This window comes from Homo sapiens, chromosome 22 (assembly GCF_000001405.40).
Source record: "Homo sapiens chromosome 22, GRCh38.p14 Primary Assembly".
Taxonomy (NCBI): domain Eukaryota; kingdom Metazoa; phylum Chordata; class Mammalia; order Primates; family Hominidae; genus Homo; species Homo sapiens.
This window is the reverse complement of record NC_000022.11, coordinates 34,134,255-34,153,163: the sequence shown is the minus strand read 5'-3', so window position 1 is coordinate 34,153,163 and position 18,909 is coordinate 34,134,255. Positions and strand designations below refer to the sequence as shown.

Here is an 18,909-nt window from a genome sequence, read left to right as displayed (position 1 = left end):
CCCTACATAAAAATATCTAATAATCAGGTCAACCCAGTTCCTGAGAATTCCCATAACTAAGAGGTACCATATATAATAACACACATAAAAGTTCAGGCTTTTCCTCACTGATCCAAAATACTGGGTTTATTCAATAACTTAAGTTCAGGAAAAACTACTGAGGTTGATTGAGGCTGAGGCTTGGGGTTATACAGACTCTTGGCTAAGAAGTTCAAAAGTGAACTAGGAATTTGTGAAGGAGAAAATGGGAGACACCAGGGGTGAATCTGCTTGCACCACCCTCCATCATGCGTTTCGTGTTAGCATCAGAACATTTTGATTGGACATTTTGATTTTTTCTTTTCTACACAAGCAGAATGATAGGATGGGTATTTAAGACAGTAAAGAGTCTATCATTCTGAATGGGGCTGATTTGATTTCGTATATACAAGTTGAACTACTTAGAATACATGAACTAGATCATTCTCTTCCTATAAATACAACAGAGCAGCCTAACCTATTTTCAGATTATGTGACACCCTTTTTTTCCTCCTGAAGCTTGCATTGAGTCTGACTTTAGGAGCAGGTGATCAACAATGTGGCCTCATTTGCAATGATAAAAGGCTGACATTTTTTTTTTTTTGCCTGTTTTCCTTACTCTCTTTCAATCAATTGCCTTGAAATTTTAGAGATAGTTTCATTGATTTCCCAGATCTCTCCATCAACCCTTCTATCAATACTGAGTTCAAAGTTACCGGAGGTACCATTTGTCTTATTGATGTAATTCCTCCTACTTTTACTAGAGTAGCTTTAATCAATTTTCTTAATAATACTACTGGAATCTTTCCACATCCTTCCCCTCCCTCGATTCCCAACTACACTTCAACTTTAACTCACCTTAAAATCATTCACTCTTTCTCAGAACATTCTGAAAACCTGCACTCTCAAGAATGAACTGTCTCTTGATTATCTCTGAGCTGAGAGTATTCAATGTTCAATGAGTATTTTTTTTACACTATTTAAGAAGGTACGAGCTTAGGGAGTCTTTATTTCCAGTGTTTACATGTTCTTTTCATTGCATTGGTCCTAAAGTCCAATCTCACTTTATTTATCTTTCTACTATGAACAACCATTATTTTTACATATTTTAAATCCCTTTCTCTATTATAAGCTTTTTGACAGTAGATATTATGTTTAGCCACACTGCAAGACAGTGGTAATAAGGAAGTGGTTCTGAGACAGTGGACACTGGCTTACCTGCTTTGAGGATGGATGAGGCATCAACACACCCCATCTCCAACAACTGGCCAAAGCCCTCCACTAGAAGATAAGATAAATACAAAGAGCACAGTTCTGCAGAAAGGAGCCATTTTATTTTTTATTTATTTTATTATTATTATTATTAGTATTATTAGTATTATTATTTTGAGACGGAGTCGTGCTCTGTCACCCAGGCTGGAGTGCAGTGGTGCGATCTCGGCTTACTGCAAGCTCCGCCTCCCGGGTTCCCACCATTCTCCTGCCTCAGCCTCTCGAGTAGCTGGGACTACAGGCGCCTGCCACCGCACCCGGCTAATTTTTTATATTTTTAGTAGAGACGGGGTTTCACCGCGTTAGCCATGATGGTCTTGATCTCCTGACCTTGTGATCCGCCCACCTCAGCCTCCCAAAGTCCTGGGATTACAGGCATGAGCCACCGCGTCCAGCCCCTTTTTTTTTTTTTTTTTTGAGACAGGGTCTCACTGTGTTGCCCAGACTGGACTGCAGTGGCGTGATCTTGGCTCACTGCAACCTCTACCTCCCAGCTTCAAGTGATTCTCCTGACTCAGCCTCCTGAGTAGCTGGGATGACAGCCATACACCACCATGCTCAGCTAATTTTTGTATTTTTAGTAGAGAAGGGGTTTCACCATGTTGGCCAGACTGATCCTGAACTCCTGGCCTCAAGTGATCCACTCGCCTCAGCCTCCCAAAGTGCTGGGACTACAGGCAAGCCACCGTGCCTGGCCAGAAAGGAGCCATCTTCTTGTTGAACAGCCCTGGACTGTAGAGAAGGCAGACTCAATTGAGATCTGCCTCCCTCTGACTTTCATCACTGAACCCATTTTGCCCTCTGGAGTGATAGGGAATTTTTTTTTTTAAGTTTCTGACTTCCCTAGGGAGTGCTTCAGACATTTTAAAACCATGATTATATCCTACCTATGTATACTCTTTTTCAAGTTAAATCTATCATGTGTGCACTGCTTTATAGATTATAAAACACTTTCGACATATATTAATGTGCTTAACCCTTCCCACAGTCAAATGAGATGAGAATATTTTCTCACTTCGTAGGAGAGGAAACAGTTTCATGGAGGTTAGGTGGTTTTCTAGGACAGAGTTTAAATTCAAAGCCAAGAATTTGGAATGCATTTCTACCCCAGCTGAAGGAAGCACATGAAAAATTAGGGGCAGAGACACTTTGTATCAGGAACTGGTGGTTCCCAAGAATCCATTCTCCCCTTCTTCTATAACACCAAACCCTCCAAATTTTAGCTAGGCACATGGCCACCCAAAATAAAAACATTTTCTGGCCTCCTTGGCAACCAATTATAGTGTGTGACTAAGTTCTAGCAAAGAGACATAAGAAAGTAGTGTCTGATTTCTAGAATAAATCCATTCATAAAAAACCGTGCCCTTCTCTTCTGTCTATCCTTCCTTCTCCTGGTTGAAATGCTGATGGGTTGGCAGGACCTGAACAGCCATCATGGAGGCTGTTATTCTAAGTGAAGTAATTCAGGAATGGAAAAACCAAATATTGTATGTTCTCACTTATAAGTGGGAGCTAAGCTATGAGGCTGCAAAGGCATAAGAATGATATCATGGATTTGGGGGACTAGGGGGGAAAGGATGGGAGTGGGGAGAGGGATAAAAGCCTATTGGGTATACTGGGTACAGTGTACACTGCTTGGGTAATAGGTAAACACTGTTTTGAAATGGTAGATTAACTAGCTAGACAGGAACAGGTCCCCAGTGATCATACAACTGCCTTGTCCTCTTTGGATTAAATATGTTTATGTGAGGGAGAAATAAACTTTTATCTATTATCTTTAATTTAATATTATGTCTCAAGGTATCTGTCATTTTCAGCCAAATTGATTTTAACTGATATTGTTTCTAAACTTACAAGGAGACCAAACAGTTCAAAATCTTTAGTTTGAAAGGTGCAGGTGGTTTGCCAGAGTCTTGCAAATTGCCACAAACTGCTTTTGCTGCTTGAAAACTGTAAAAATGAGAGGATGTTAAAATCAGAGCTCTACTATGCTATGGAATAGTTATGAAAAGTTGAGGTTGTGTTATTAAAGAATTGCTTACATTAATGCTGCAGCATTCTATTTAAGTTTTTCAAAGGTCGAATCATTGCTTATTATAGAGGTTGATTAGATAATTGGGCTTTGTGTAGTCAGTTTATTTGGTAACAGTTTTATTGAGATACAAATCACATGCCATTCAATTCACCCATTTAAAGTGCACAATTCAATGGTTTTCAGTATTGCCACTGAGTTGTGCAACTATCACCATAATCAATTTTATAACATTGTTTTAACCCCAAAAAGAAACCCCATGTCACTCCCCACTCTTCCATACCCCTCTGCCAGAAGCAATCACTAATTTACTTTTTATTCTCCATGGATTTGCATATTCTGGACATTTAATATAAATGGAATCATACAATGTGAACTTTTGTGGCTGACTTCTTTCACTTATCATAATAATTCCAAGGTTCATGTATGCTATAGCTTGTATCACTCCTTCCTTTTATGACCTAATAATATTTCATTGTATGAAGACACCACATTTTATTTATCCAACCATCAGCTGATGGACATGTGGGTTGGTTCCAATTTAAGGGCATGATAAGTAACTTTCTGTTATGAAGATTCATATATTATTTCATCTTTGAAGATGTGTATTAATATTACAAAGTTCTTATTTATAGTAAACCACAGTTTAGCACTAAGTTACAACTATTGGTTTAATGTCATTTCTTGGTAATTATTTTAGGGGACAAAATATGTTCTTATTAGTAAACTGGAGTTGCAGTCATAGTGCCATGGGAAAAAAACAACATGTATGTAGGGTCAAAGAATAAAAACAGCAACAAAGATACTAATAACAATAATAATAGCAGCAACCCATTACTGAGATTCTTCTATTCATTCAGTTGATGGACCTTAATTTATTTAATAATTCTCCCATTGCTGGTAGATTTTGTTTCCATTTTTATTACATGAAGCTAAATATTTCAACAACCATATTCATGCAAGGTTTTTCTCTCTTCCAGAAATACTTTCTCAGGATAAATTCCCACTACTGGTAAAAACAAAAACAAACAAACAAAAAAACGAAGAAAAGGGTAAATCCTCTTTGAACCTTGATGCTAAACTGCCATATTGATTTTTTTTCTTTTTTTTTTTTTTTGAGATGGAGTCTCATTCTGTTGCCCAGGCCAGAGTGCAATGGTGTAATCTCGGCTCACAGCAACCTCCGCCTTCTGGGTTCAAGCAATTCTCCTGTCTCAGCCTCCAGAGTAGCTGGGACTACAGGTGTGTGCCACCATGCCCGGCTAATTTTTGTATTTTTAATAGAGACAGGGTTTCATCATATTGGTCAGGCCAGTTTTGAACTCCTGACCTCAGGTGATCCGCCCACCTCAGCCTCCCAAAATGCTGGGATTATAGGTGTAAGGCACCAAGCCAGGCCTGCCATATTGATTTCTAAAAGCATTTGGAAATGTTAATTTCAACACACTTCACCAGCAGTGGGTGCTAACTTTTAAAATGTTTACAAATACTGTCAGTAAAAAACACAAACCCTTCAATAATGTCCTAATTTGCATATCTTTGATTACTAGTGAGATTAAACCTTTTTTATTGTTTTGTTGAAGACTAAAGCTGGATTACCTAATAGAATCTTAAAAAAAAATGAATTTAAATGAGTACAAACTTGAACTCAATAGCCTCATGAACAACTGACCAAAGGGTGATAACATGTTTGATTTCAAGATGATTACCTGAAACAAGAGCAAGCCTCGGTGGAATTTCCCAGAAAGGGGTGCAAAGCTCAATTCCATTGAATGTTTCATCTTCATTAGTGATTTAGGAGGAAAGAGTAAACAGTGCTGAAATTAACTTCACAGATGGCTCTCAACTGAGAGGATTGTAAAAAGCAATGAATAATGAGAATTACACAGGGACCAGAAAGGTGAGAACTAGCAATATATAAAAACCAATCTATCCTGGAAAACAAGGTTGCTGGGGCAGGGAAACAGAGGCTTACATTCAGAGAGGTACCACACTTCCACGCCCAACAGACACTCATTCAGCATCTGCTAGGACCTTTGATTCCCCACTCACAACATGCCATCTCATGGACCTGACCACTCACAAATGCTGTTACCTTTGCCTTCATAGCTTGCTCCCTTTTTCATATTCAAATGACTCCTTCTGAGGCTCAGTTCAGACAGAATTTACTTCCTGTAGGTACCTTTCTTGACCTCCAAGCCAAACCCTCCCTGCACCCACTTCTGCACTGACTTTCTCTGCACTTCAACAGCAGCCTGTGTCGAAGCCATTTTAGGACTTCTAAAACCACATTTTGCAGTCCTGGAAAGACAGCTACTGATATATGGTAGTTTTTGAATCCCCTCCCATAAAAAAAATATATGGAGCAACTAAGAAAGCAAAGCCAAAATTCCACAGACAATATCTACAGCAAAACCAGGTGACAAGAAGTCCACACAAACACCAAAATAAGACCCAGAAATGACAAACCATTGCTATTCCTGCTGCATGGCATCAGCACCTGTGTGTAAGGCAGAAGGAAGCAACAGAGTAGCTGACAGACTGAGACCAGAACTACTCCCAAAATAGCATTACATATTCATTAATAAGTGCAATATATCAACTTGACAATAGCAATCGCTATGTGTTTCAATCCATTTTTATGCTGCTGATAAAGACATACTTCAGACTGGGAAGAAAAGGAGGTTTAATTTGACTTACAGTTCTACATGGCTGGGGAGGCCTCATAATCATGGCAGAGGACAAAAGGCACCTCGGCACCTCTTACATTGTGGCAGCAAGAGAGAGCGAAGAAGGAGCAAAAGCAGATATCCCTGATAAACCCATCAGATCTTGTGAGACTTATCCACTATCACGAGAATATCATGAGAAAGACTGGACCCCATGATTCAATTACCTCCCCTTGGGTCTCTCCCACAACACGTGGGAATTCTGGGAGATACAATTCAAGTTGAGATTTGGTAGGGACATAGCCAAACCATATCATTATGGAAGAATTGTTCCTCTATAATATCCGAGTGAATACAAAGGGGCTCACACAAGATCCAAAGGGGATGAAGTAGTGTGCTTTATGAATGCCCAAAACTAACTGGTCAACATATGATAAATACCCTTTCAACATCAAGTCTCACAATGGGGAGACATACTAGGAATAGAGTTGAAGTTGAGCAGGACAGAAACAACAAAGACAAAAGGCAACAAAGTCCAGACTAAAGTAGAAGAAAAAGAAGCCATGAGATCTCAGAATTAGTTAAGTCCTTGAATTTCTAACATTTTACAAAAACAGCAGAAAAGAGAACTCTAAAGCTCTAATACTATAAAATCCATCCTGACCTACCTCTTCCTCCAAAAATTGCAGAAAAATAACTTTCATATAAAAATGAGCATCAGAAAATGTTATGCTTAATTCCCATGCATAATTATAAAAACAGCGAATTAAGAGCAAAATAATGTCCTTACATATCATGAAAGCAAGACAAAAATTTTTGGAAGGAACAGATGAAACTGTTTATAACCTAATATTTAAAAATAAACAAAAATGAATTGGAAGCAATAATAGAAGCTATTAAGAAATAACATCACTTATCAGAATAAAATACACTAAAATGTAGAATGATAAAACTCAGGAAAAAATTAGAAACAACAACAAAAAAAGCTCAGAAATGGCCAGGCGCAGTGGCTCACACCTGTAATCCCAGCACTTTGTGAGGCCAAGGCAGGTGATCACAAGGTCAGGAGTTCAAGACCAAGACCAGCCTGGCCAACATGGTGAAACCCCATCTGTACTAAAAATACAAAAATTAGCTGGGCGTGGTTGTGGGCACCTGTAATCCCAGCTACTTAGGAGGCTGAGGCAGGAGAATCATTTGGACCCAGGAGGCAGAGGTTGCAGTGAGCCAAGAGTGCACCACTGCACTCCAGCCTGGGCAACTGGGCAAGACTATGTCTCAAAAAAAAAAGCTCAGAAATGAAGACTAAAATAGAAGACACTGAACAGAACAGTAAATAATAGTACTTTTTTTTTTTTGAGACACAGTCTTGCTTTGTCACCCAGGCATGCAGTGGCATGATTCCAGCTCACTACAACCTCCACCTCCTGGGTTCAAGCAATTCTCATGCCTCAGCTTCCTGAGAAGCTGGGACTACAAGTGAGCACCACCATGCCCAACTAAGCTAACTTTTGTATTTTGGGTAGAAACAGGGTTTTACCATGTTGACCAGGCTGGTCTCCAACTCCTGGCCTCAAGTGAGCTGCTGAACTCAGCCTCCCAAAGTGCTGGGATTACAGACATGAGTCACTGCACCTGGCCCAGATAGTACCATAAAAGAGACAGAAGATGAACAGAAGAAATTTTTAATTAAAAGAAATAAATAAGAATTCACAAGAGACAGTGACAAATATAGAAGATAATCAGATAACCCAACATGCGCATAGAGTGCTAGAAGAAAAAAGCCAAAGAAAATAAACAAAATAAATCCTAAAACTATAACTCAAAAAACAATTACTTTAAAATGCTGTTTTAAGCTCATTCAAGTAGCACATCAAAAACTTTTCCACCATGATCAAATAGGCTTTATCTCTGGAATGCAAGGTTGGTTCAACGGACACAAATCAATTAACATGATGCATCACACAAACAGAACTAAAGACAAAAACCACATGATTATCTCAATAGATGTAGAAAAGGCTTTCAATAAAATTCAGCACCTCTTCATGTCAAAAACTCTCAATAAACTAGGTATTGAATGAATATACCTCAAAATAATAAGAACCATCTATAACAAACCCATAGCCAACATCATATGGAATGAGTGAAAGCTGGACACATTCCCCTTGAAAGCCAGCACAAGGCAAGAATGCCCTCCATCACCAATCCTCATAGTATTGGATGTCCTGGCCTGCGCAATCAGGCAAGAGAAAAAAAAAAAAGGGCATCCGAATAGGATGAAAGGAAGTCAAACTATCCCTGTTTGCAGACAATATGATCTTGTATCTAGAAAACCCCATAGTCTCAGCCTAAAAGCTTCTTAAGCTGATAAACAACTTCAATAAAATCTCAGGATAAAAAATCAATGTGCAAAAACCACTAGCATTCCATTCCAACAACAGTCAAGCTGAGGGCCAAATCAGGAAAGCAATCCCGTTCACAACTGCCACAAAAAGAATAAAATACTTAGAAATACAATTAATCAGGGAGGTGAAATATCTCTACAAGGAGAAGTACAAAACACTGCTCAAATAAATCAGAGATGACACAAACAAACGGAAAAACATTCTGTGCTCACAGACAGGAAAAATCAATATCGAAAAAATGGCCATACTGCCCAAAGCAATTTATAGATTCAGTGCTATTCCTATTAAACTATCATTGAAATCATTCACAGAACTAGAAAAAATTATTTTAAAATTCAAATGGAACCAAAAAACAGGCTAAATAGCCAAGGCAATCCTAAGCAAAAAGAACAAAGCTGGAGGCATCACACTACCCAACTTTAAACCATTCTACAGGGCTACAGTAACCAAAACAGCATAGTAGTGGTACAAAAACAGACCCATAGACCAATGGAACAGAATAGAAAACCCAGAAATAAGGTCACACACCAACAACTATCACATCTTCAACAAATCTGACAAAAACAAGCAATAGAGAAAGGATTCCCTATTCAATAAATGGTGCTGGGATAACTGGCTAGACATATGTAGAAGATTGAAAGTGGACCCCTTCCTTATACCATATACGAAAGTCAACTCAAGACAGATTAAAGACTTAAATGTAAAACTTAAAACTACAAAAACCCTGGAAGACAACCTAGGCAATACCATTCAGGACATAGGAATGGGCAAAGATTTCATGATGAAGACACCAACGCAATTACAACAAAACCAAAAATTGACAAATGGGATCTAATTAACTAAAGAGCTTCTACACAGCAAAGGAAGCTATCAATAGAGTGAACAGACAACCTACAGAATGGGAAAAAATATTTGCAAACTATGCATCCAACAAAGATCTAATATCCAGCATCTATAAGAAACTTAAATTTACAAAGAAAAAGCAAACAACTCTATTAAAAGATGGGCAAAGGACACGAACAAACACTTTTCAAAAGAAGACATGCATGCAGCCAACAATCGTATAAAGAAAAGTTCAGCATGACTGATCATTAGAGAAATGCAAATCAAAACCACAATGAGATACTACCTTACACCAGTCAGAATGGCTATTATTAAAAAGTCAAAAATAACAGATGCTGGTGAGGTTATAGAGAAAAAGGAATGCTTACACACTGTTTTTAGGAGTGTACATTAGTCAACCATTGTGGAAGACAGTGTGGCGATTCCTCAAAGACCTAAAACCAGAAATACCATTTGACACAGCAATCCCATTACTGAGTATATACCCAAAGGTATATGAATTGCTATATTATAAAGACATATGTATGCGTATGTTCATTGCAGCACTAGTCACAAGAGCAAAGACATGGAATCAACCTAAATACCCACCAATGACAGACTGGAGAGAGAAAATGTGGTACATATACACCATGGAATACTATGCAGCCACAAAAAGGAACAAGATTATGTCCTTTGCAGGGACATGGATGGAGCTGGAGGTCATTATCCTTATCAAACTAACACAGGAACAGAAAATCAAATACTGCATGTTCTCACTTATAAGTGGGAGGTAAATGATAAGAATACATGAACACCCAGAGGGGAAAAACACACACTGGGGCCTTCCAGCAGGTGGAGAGTGGGAGGAGGAAGAAGATCAGGAAAAATAACTAATGAGTACTAGGCTTAATACCTGGGTGATGAAATACTCTGTAAAACAAACCCCGATGACAATTTACCTATGTATATATGATAGCAAACCTGCACATGTACCCCTGAACTTAAAAGTATAAAGAAAGATAAATAAAATGAAATGTTGTTTTAAGTTTAAGACTGCATTTCAAAGGGCACATCTTATATCTAGGTACAGTCAAACCAGGCCAAGCAATATAGAGAAATATTCTAACAAAATTCCTTTACTTACATAAAAAACAAAAAGTACTGAAGCATCCAAGTGCAAAGAGTAAGTCACATATAAGGGAAAGAATATCAGATGACCATCAAATTTTTTGATAGCAGTACATTATGTCAGAAGACCATAGATAACATATTTAATACATCAAAAGAAAGAAAAGAAGTGAGCCAAGGATTTTGTATATAGCCAAGCTAACCTTCAGGTATAAAAGCTGACAAATGGGCCAGGCACAGGAGCTCACATTAGTAATCCCAGCACTTTGGGAAGCCAAGGCGAGAGGACTGCTTGAGGCCAGGAGTTTGAAACCACCCTGAGCAACACAATGAGACTCAGTCTCTACAAAATACAATTTAAAAATATTAGCTGGGTACAGTGGCATATTTCTGCAGCTCTAGCTACTCAGGAGGCTGAGGTAGGAGGGTCACTTAAGCCTACGAGTTTAAGGGCAGTGAGCTTTGATCGTGCCACTGCACTCCAGCCTCGCTGACAGAGCTAGACCCTGCCAAAAACAAAAAGGCAGCTAAACAAATGGCTGTCATCAAAAAAGGACTAAGAGAATATTGTTCTCATGAGCCCTTCTTGGGTTCCCACCACGTGAGTGTGAGCTTCAGTTAGCCAAAATCGCTGTAGCAAAAGCAACACAAGGACTACATGTGAACGTTAAACACACATACACGTAGAGTAGAATATATCAGGACTCCTTGGAGAAACAACTGATTCCATGTCTGGAGCAGGAAATGGACAGAGAGCCTAACATTTTGCCATACGAGATTCCTAGGAAACCATCAAAGACTACCAAGACTAATGCTGAAAAAATCAGAAGCCAACTTGAAGAGACTCCCATGGGCCAAAAATGAACACTTTGAACAGGAACGAAAAATAACTTCAATGGATTAAAATACATCAAATGTGTTTTCACTCATGAGTACATAATGATGCCTAAAATTTTAAAAGTAATTGGTCATTACTGGAAAATACTAGAGAATTCAATTTACTATTTAAATACCTGCCTTCTTGGTAACCAAATAGTAGAGGCGATAAGTTGATTACTGGAATCAGTAATTTTATATTGAATCAGAAAGGAGCAATAGAATTAGAATGTTGCCATTTTGTAACCCCTGATTAATCAACATTGACAAGGAACACCAATGTCACAAAAAAGAGAGACAGCCAGACTTTACATGCCTCCTTTGGAAGAGTCTTGCCAAAAAATATTGAAGCTGAATCTGACCACATCTTGAGATCCAACTGCCAATGTACAGGAAATAAAGAGGACAGGGAAACATTTTTAAATATAACGTGGATATAATCACTCATGGGAAACTATAAAGGACAAAAGAGATAGTTGCGAGGGGAAAAGAGAGAGGAAGAGGAAGGAGGAAAGTATACATTAGATTTTAAGAGCCTTAAAATACATGTCAACCAGTCACAAGGTGTGGACCTTATTCAAACAAACTGTTAAAAAGTGACATTTATGGAAAATGGAAATTTGAATACTACCTTAATATTTGATGACATTAAAGAATTAGGAGTAACTTTTTAAGGTATGGTAATGATAATATTTTTTAAGGAGTCCTTATTTTGTAAACATATATACTATACCAATTTGGGGGCAATTGTATAATGTCTCAGATTTGCTTCAAAATAACATGGACAAAATACATCCACACACAAATGAATATAAGAATATAAGTAAAACTGAGAATATATGAATAAAATTGATAGATTGTATCAATGTCAATATTCTAGTTGTGATATTGTACTGCATATAGTTTTGCAAGAAGCTTGTGTTGGGGAAAACTGCATGAAGGATACACAGATCTCTGTGTTATTTCCTAAAACTTCATGTGAATTTACAATGATCTCAATAAAAATTCCAATTAAAAAACAATAATATGGGGGATACTGGTGGGGATAGAGACAAAGATGATGGCAATGAATTGATAATTGCTGAAGCTGGATGCCGGTCCAAGGGAGTTCATGATACTAGGTTATTCATACTTGAATATGTTCATAATTTTCTATAATCAAGCTTTTAGTGCACTTGTTTGTATATCTCTCCATTTATGAAATTTTCAGGACAGGTTTTGTGTCTTATTTATCCCTGTATGCCCAATTACTTACACAAGAATTGGCTGAAAATATGTCGGTTAGATAAACTCGTGGAGAGATGGTTAGAAAAATGGAGCTGTGAATGAGTGCCTAGATCCTAATGGAAAAGTACATACAAATGCTGAAGGATTTCATCCCAGATGTGACGCAAAACCCCAGTGGATATCAATTGTTGCCAAGCTAAGGACTTTATATAATAGGAGTATGGCAGACTATCTAAGTGCTTACCAACATCTGATTAAAATTATAATTCCAAATTCCATTGAAATCAGGTTTAAGACTTGTTTTGGCCAACTAAATATGACAAAAAGTCATTTGTGTTACTTCCAGGAAAATGTTTTAGAAACAATTCACCATGTTCCCTTTTTTTTTTTTTTCGTAACCTGTGACATAGAAGGAATGTTCCCTCTCTTTGTTTTTTGTTTTGTTCTGTTTTTTTGTTTGTTTGTTGTTGAGACAGAATCTTGCTTTGCTGCTCAAGCTGGAGTGCAGTAGCTTGGTCATGGCTCACTGCAGCCTTCACCTCCCAGGCTCAAGTGATCCTGTTGCCTTAGCACCCCTGACCCCCACCCCCTGAGTAGTTGGAACTACAGGCATGAGCCACCACATCCAGCTATCTTTTTTCATGTTTAGCAGAGATGAGGTCTCACTATATGTCCAGGCTGGTCTCAAACTACTGAGCTCAAGTGATCCTCCTTCTCAGCCTCCCAAAGTGCTAGGATTACAGGTGTGAGCCACCATGCCCGGCCCCTTCTCCTTGTCTCAGACAGAAACACCATCATTATTCCATAAGGTAGCTGCTCCATTCCAGAGTATGGCCTGGAGTAACGTGGAACAGAGAAATACAGCCAACTAGTGAGAAGTGTGTAGTGTGTGTGTGAGAAATAAGCCTTTGTTGCTGAATGCCCTGGGGATTTTGGAGTTCATTGTTTCGTTACACATATAAGATAGCATAACCTGACTGATGAGGGAGTCACTTAGGTTTTGCCTTGTTTTATTATAGCAGGAGTGAGACTAGCAAAAGCTGGGCCAGTAAAGAGCTGATGAGAGCATAAAGGAAGCCAGAGGCAGTGGAGAGGGATGGAGCTGAGAGATACTGTAGAAGTAGAATCTATGGGACGGAAAAAGTGACTGGATCAGGGAGAAAACTATTCAGGGAGGCTTCAGGGGATGGCTGTGTGAATGGTGCTGCTCTTCCTGAGAAAGGGAACCCTGGAAGAGGAGGAGCCTGTGTTAAGAGGAAGATGACAACTTTGGTTCTAACTTAAAAGAGATCATGCAAGAGACTAAAAATACACCTTGTTTACATCATCCAGCTGCACAGTAAGCAAGCCAGAATCTCAAATCAGACTGTGGGTATCAGAATAGTGAAGATGTGAGCAAAAGCCCATCCCAAGGTCATGTACATGGCCCTGCTTTTCAAGCTGGGCTGGGCCTGCAAAATCTCTGACAGATGGGTGAATTTCTGTCTCTCAACCTCAGCCAGGAAACCTCTCCAGGAACCTAGCAAGGTTCTGTCTAACAAGGCCAGTGGTCAGCAGGTTTTCTTCTTAGTAAGCAGGCAACCTTCACCCCTGGGGTAGATCAACCGCAGACACTTAATCAATAATCACTCCTACCAAGGCTTTCAAGAATTGCTTCAGAGGTAGGGGTTCCTTGTTTCCTGAAGTCTTTCTGAGCTTCATCCTTGAACAGGACTCTTTCTAGAAGTCTCTTTTCTTGTCAAAGGTAAAACAAGCCACGAAAGATCTAAGTAATACATCTTTATTTGGTAGCTTCCTACATTAGCCATCTCTTACCAGGAGTAGTTATAATAAAATAACAATAATAAAAATTACAATTTATTTAGTACTTTGTTATATGCCAGCTATTGTGTAAAAGGCTTCATATACATTACCTCATTCATTCAGGTAGCCCTCACATCAACAGTAGGAAGTTATAAAAAATAATGTGATAGAAAACATAGGCATTACTTACTGAGAAAGACAAAATCTGGTGAATACAGGGTTCTCTGTTTGCTGAGCAGGGTGATGGTTGTGGAAGGTAAGCTTGGAGGAATCAGAGCTAAATTATTCTAGATCATCAGGAGACAGGGAATGAGAGAGAGTAATGGAAAGGAGGAGAGGAAGAAGGTCTGGGAGTTGGAAGGCACCACCTAGATGTTGGAGCCCTGAGTGGGGTAAAAGAGAAAGAAGAGGCTGGACACAGTGGCTCACGCCTGTAATCCCGGCACTTTAGGAGGCTAAGGCAGGTGGATCAGGAGGTCAAGAGATCGAGACCATCCTGGCCAACATGGTGAAACCGTGTCTCTACTAAAATACAAAAAATTAGCTGGGAGTGGCAGTGCGCACCTGTAGTCCCAGCTACTCAGGAGGCTGAGTCAGGGGAATCACTTGACCCTGGGAGGCGGGGGTTGCAGTGAGCCGAGATGGTGCCACTGCACTCCAGTCTAGGTGACACAGCTAGACTCTGTCTCAAAAAAAAAAAAAACAAAAAGGAGGAGGAGAAAGAAGAAGACACACACACACACACACACACACACACACACACACACACGATGGGGTATCTGGAAATACCATACAATTTGGTGTTTGTTGCAGAGTGTACCATGTAAAGCCCTTCTGAATTCCCTCTACAAAATCTTGAGCAAAATTTTCATTGCTCACTAATACTTTGAAAAGAGGATTCTTTCCAGGAGTGATTATAAAGAGGTACTGAGTCCCACTTCAAGGTTAGGGCAAGGCAAAAACAGGATGTTCATGAGGTCTTTACAATAATAATGACAGAAATGTTTTTATCGGGCAGGAAAAAATATGCAAAGTTCTAAATGGATCAACAAACTGTGGCACATCCATACAATAGAACACTACTCAGCTCTAAAAAAAAAAAATTAACAAGCTGCTGATTCAACAGCAACATAGATACATCTTAAATGTATTTTGTCAGTTGAAAGAAGTCCAGAACCAAAATACTTCATAGCATTCATATCATATGATTCTATGTATACGATATGATAGGAAAGGCGAAGCTTTAGGAACAGAACACAGATCAGCGGTTGCCAAGGGTTGGGAGAAGGGAAGGGGGTGACTACATGGAGTCCATATAAGGGATTTTTCAGGGTTGTGGAACGATTCTCTGTGGCCCTGAAGTGGTGGTTACATGAATCTATGTATTTGTCAGAATTCTTACAGAGTCAATTGTACTGTACACAGTTTTTATAAAAAGCGACTAGGATGCCCAGGGAAACCAGGATGGAATCCAGGACATGAAAAATAAATCTAGGCCAGGCGCAGTGATTCATGCCTGTAATCTCAGCACTTTGGGAGGCTGAGGCAGGCGGATCACCTGAGGTCCAGAGTTCAAGACCAGCCTGGCCAACATGGCAAGACCCTGTCTCTACTAAAAATGCAAAATTAGCCAGGCATGGTGGCAGGTGCCTCTAATCCCAGCTACTACTACAGAGGTTGAGGCATGAGAATCGCTTGAACCCGGGAGGCAGAGGTTGCAGTGAGCTGAGATCATGCCACTGCACTCCAGCCTGGGGGACAGAGTGAGACTCTGTCAAAAAACAAAAAAAAAAGAAAAAGAAAAGAAATCTAACTGTATTACAAATATACAAATATATCATATAACCTCACCGATGGGAGTAGAAAAAAAGGGAGTTGACCTAATTAACCTTGAAAAATGGTGTGTTAATTGTATACTGGGATTAACAAATAACTAAATAAATTGTAGATAATGGAAACTACATTTTTTACTGTCACAGAAAAGAAGTTAAAAATAAGCAAAGAGGGGAAGCTAGAATAAACCCTTGAGAGTAGGCTGGACTTACTGACTCATCTCCAAGGATTAAATTATGGAGATGAGAAACATCTCTGACTTATGATATTTTGACTTTAGGATGGTGCAAAAGCAATATGAATTCAGTAGAAACTGTATTTCGAGTACCCATACAGCCATTCTGTTTTTCACTTTCACTATTCAATAAATTACACGATTTCATGAGATATTTAATTCTTTGTTATAAAGCTGGCTTTGTGTTAGATGATTTTGTCCAACTGTGGGCTAACATAAGTGTTTTGTGCATGTTTGAAGCAGGTTAGGCTAAGCTATGATCTTTGGTAAGTTTGGTGTATTAAACACATTTTCAATTTATAGCATTTTTCATTTACAATGGGTTTATTAGGATGTAACCCCTCATAAGTCAAGGAGTATCTGTACTACCCTTAAAGTAGATAAAACTGGCAGATACCACCTTAACCAAGTGATTAAGGTTAACACCAGCAGTGCTAAGTCATGTGGAGTTCATGGACCCTCTACATGAAGCAATAAGAAACACACTTTACATCAGTAGTTTTCTTCCTTATAGGATTATATCTTATACTCCCAGTTTCATAATGAGAAAAACATCAGAAAAACTAAAACTGAGGAATATTTTATAAAATATCTGATCAGTTCTCCTTAAAACTGTCAAAGTCATGAAAGAAGAAATGAATGAGAAACTGTCACAGATTGGAGAAGATTAAGGAAACATGATAACTGAATGCAATATGATATCCTGGATTGGATTCTGGAACATACAAAAGTATATCAGTGGAAAAACAAGGGCAATCTGAAGTCTGTTGTTTAACAGCAAAGTACCAACGTTAGTATCTTAGGTTTAACCAATGTGCCGTGATTACGCAAGACGCTAACATCCGGGGAAGCTGGGTGAAGGTTACATGGGAACTTTCTACACTATCCTTATAACTTTTCTGTTAGTAAAAATTATCCAAAATATTGGCATGGCCTGGGAGTAGATTATGTAATCTCTGCCCACATGCTGTTGGCGAGAACCCAGTCATGTATCTCTAACCTACCTGCAGGATAGCTGGGAACTATACTCTGCCTGCATGCACGAGAAGATGAATATTAAACAAGATTTTGTGAATAGTTAGCATTGTCTCTACCATCATAGAAGTACAAGCCAGAGAGAGTGGGCAAGAAAATGTTCACCACCACAAATTCAAGCAGCATTTTTTCCCCAAATGAAATGCGTTTGACCCTAGCCTTTAGCCATCCACAGAACAGCCAGAAACATTTTGGGAATACAATCGGGACTTAGCCACAGCTATGGTGTTGGGAAAAGAGTCTGTACAGCAGTGACGGGAACTAATGCTTTGAGAACCTAAACAGCTTTGTACTTTAAATATATTGTCCCATTTTATTCTCACAACTACCTGCCAGTTTCAGAAATGTGGAACCTGACAATTAGAGAGATTTCGGGGTTTTTGCCATATGGACTTACTGAAAATCAAGTTATGGATGTTTGATTAAAAAAAAAAAACTCTACTGGGTCTCCGCCATGGCCTAAATTGTATGTTGAAGCCCTAACTCCCAATACCTCAGCATGTGACTATATTTGGAGACAGAGTCTTTAAAGAGATAATTAAGTAAAGTGAGGTCATGAGAGTGGGCCCTTATCTAATACTACTGCTGTCTTTGTAAGATGAAGAAATTTGAACACAGACATGCACAGAGAAAAGACAAGGTGAAGATTCAGACAGAAGACAGCCATCTGCAAGCTAGGAAGAGACAGGTCTTGAAAGAAACCAACCCTACTGACACCTTGATCTCACACTTCCAGCCTCCAGAACTATGAGAAAATAAATTTTTGTTGTTTAGGCTCCCTAGGCTATGGTACTTTATTATAGAAGTGCTCGCAAACTAATATAGTCTCTCTGAAGTTGTTCCCTGGGCCATTGAGCTCCATGGGAAAGAGTGGAGAGTGAGTTTCTATTCTCAGCTGGCCTTCTCCAAATGGAGAATGCAACTTCAGTGAAGCAAGGTGCTACTCTCACCCACTTCACCCCATAAAAGAGCAGAAGCTTCATCCTGCCCATCCCCACTGCTGACCCCAATCGCCATACCAGAGAGGCAGTGTGATCAACTAGGACAAGCCCAGGCTGTTCCACTTAGGAGCTGGGCCACCACAATGAAAAACATTGGCAATACCTACCCAAGAAGGTGCTTGTTAGGCTAAGGTGGCTTAATGTTTGTGAAAGCGCTAAATACCATTCCGGGACACACTCAGTCAAAACATGCTCATAGTATTCCCATCACCACAGCTGGGGGACTCAGGGTTATTCTCTCGTGAGTTTGTAGTCAAAAGTCAAAGTTTGCCAATCAGTTACACTTGGGTGGAGATTTTTAGGCCATCATTAGGTGATCTTGGCTAAATCAGCTCTCTGAACTCTGCTCATCTGTTAAACGGGAACAATGGCAGTGGCTCCCTTCCGAGGACTCTTCCCAGGTCCCAAAGAAATCAGAAGTATAAAGATCTCAGCACAGAGGTTGGCCTAGCATAAGCGTTCATCAACAAGGGTGCTAGAATTTTTGGTTTGGTTTTCAAATGTCTCTTCCTCCACTCCCCCATAATGCATTGGCACAAGCACCAGCTCACCT

General features: G+C 39.3%; 1 long non-coding RNA gene across 22 annotated transcripts in view; it reads right to left on the bottom strand.

Moving 5' to 3' along the window:
* LINC01643 (long intergenic non-protein coding RNA 1643) overlaps nucleotides 1-18,909 on the bottom strand; it is a 201,365-nt gene that overhangs the window by 65,633 nt on the left and 116,823 nt on the right. The window contains exons 6-7 of one of the 22 annotated variants that reach the window (NR_183600.1): nucleotides 5,032-5,168; nucleotides 3,145-3,240 (exon numbers count right to left, since the gene is read on the bottom strand). The exons of 20 other annotated variants lie outside the window; for them this stretch is intronic. This is a non-coding gene — a long non-coding RNA (long intergenic non-protein coding RNA 1643). The remainder of the gene's footprint in view (nucleotides 1-3,144; nucleotides 3,241-5,031; nucleotides 5,169-18,909) is intronic. One more of the 22 variants, NR_183598.1, reaches the window with a different exon arrangement.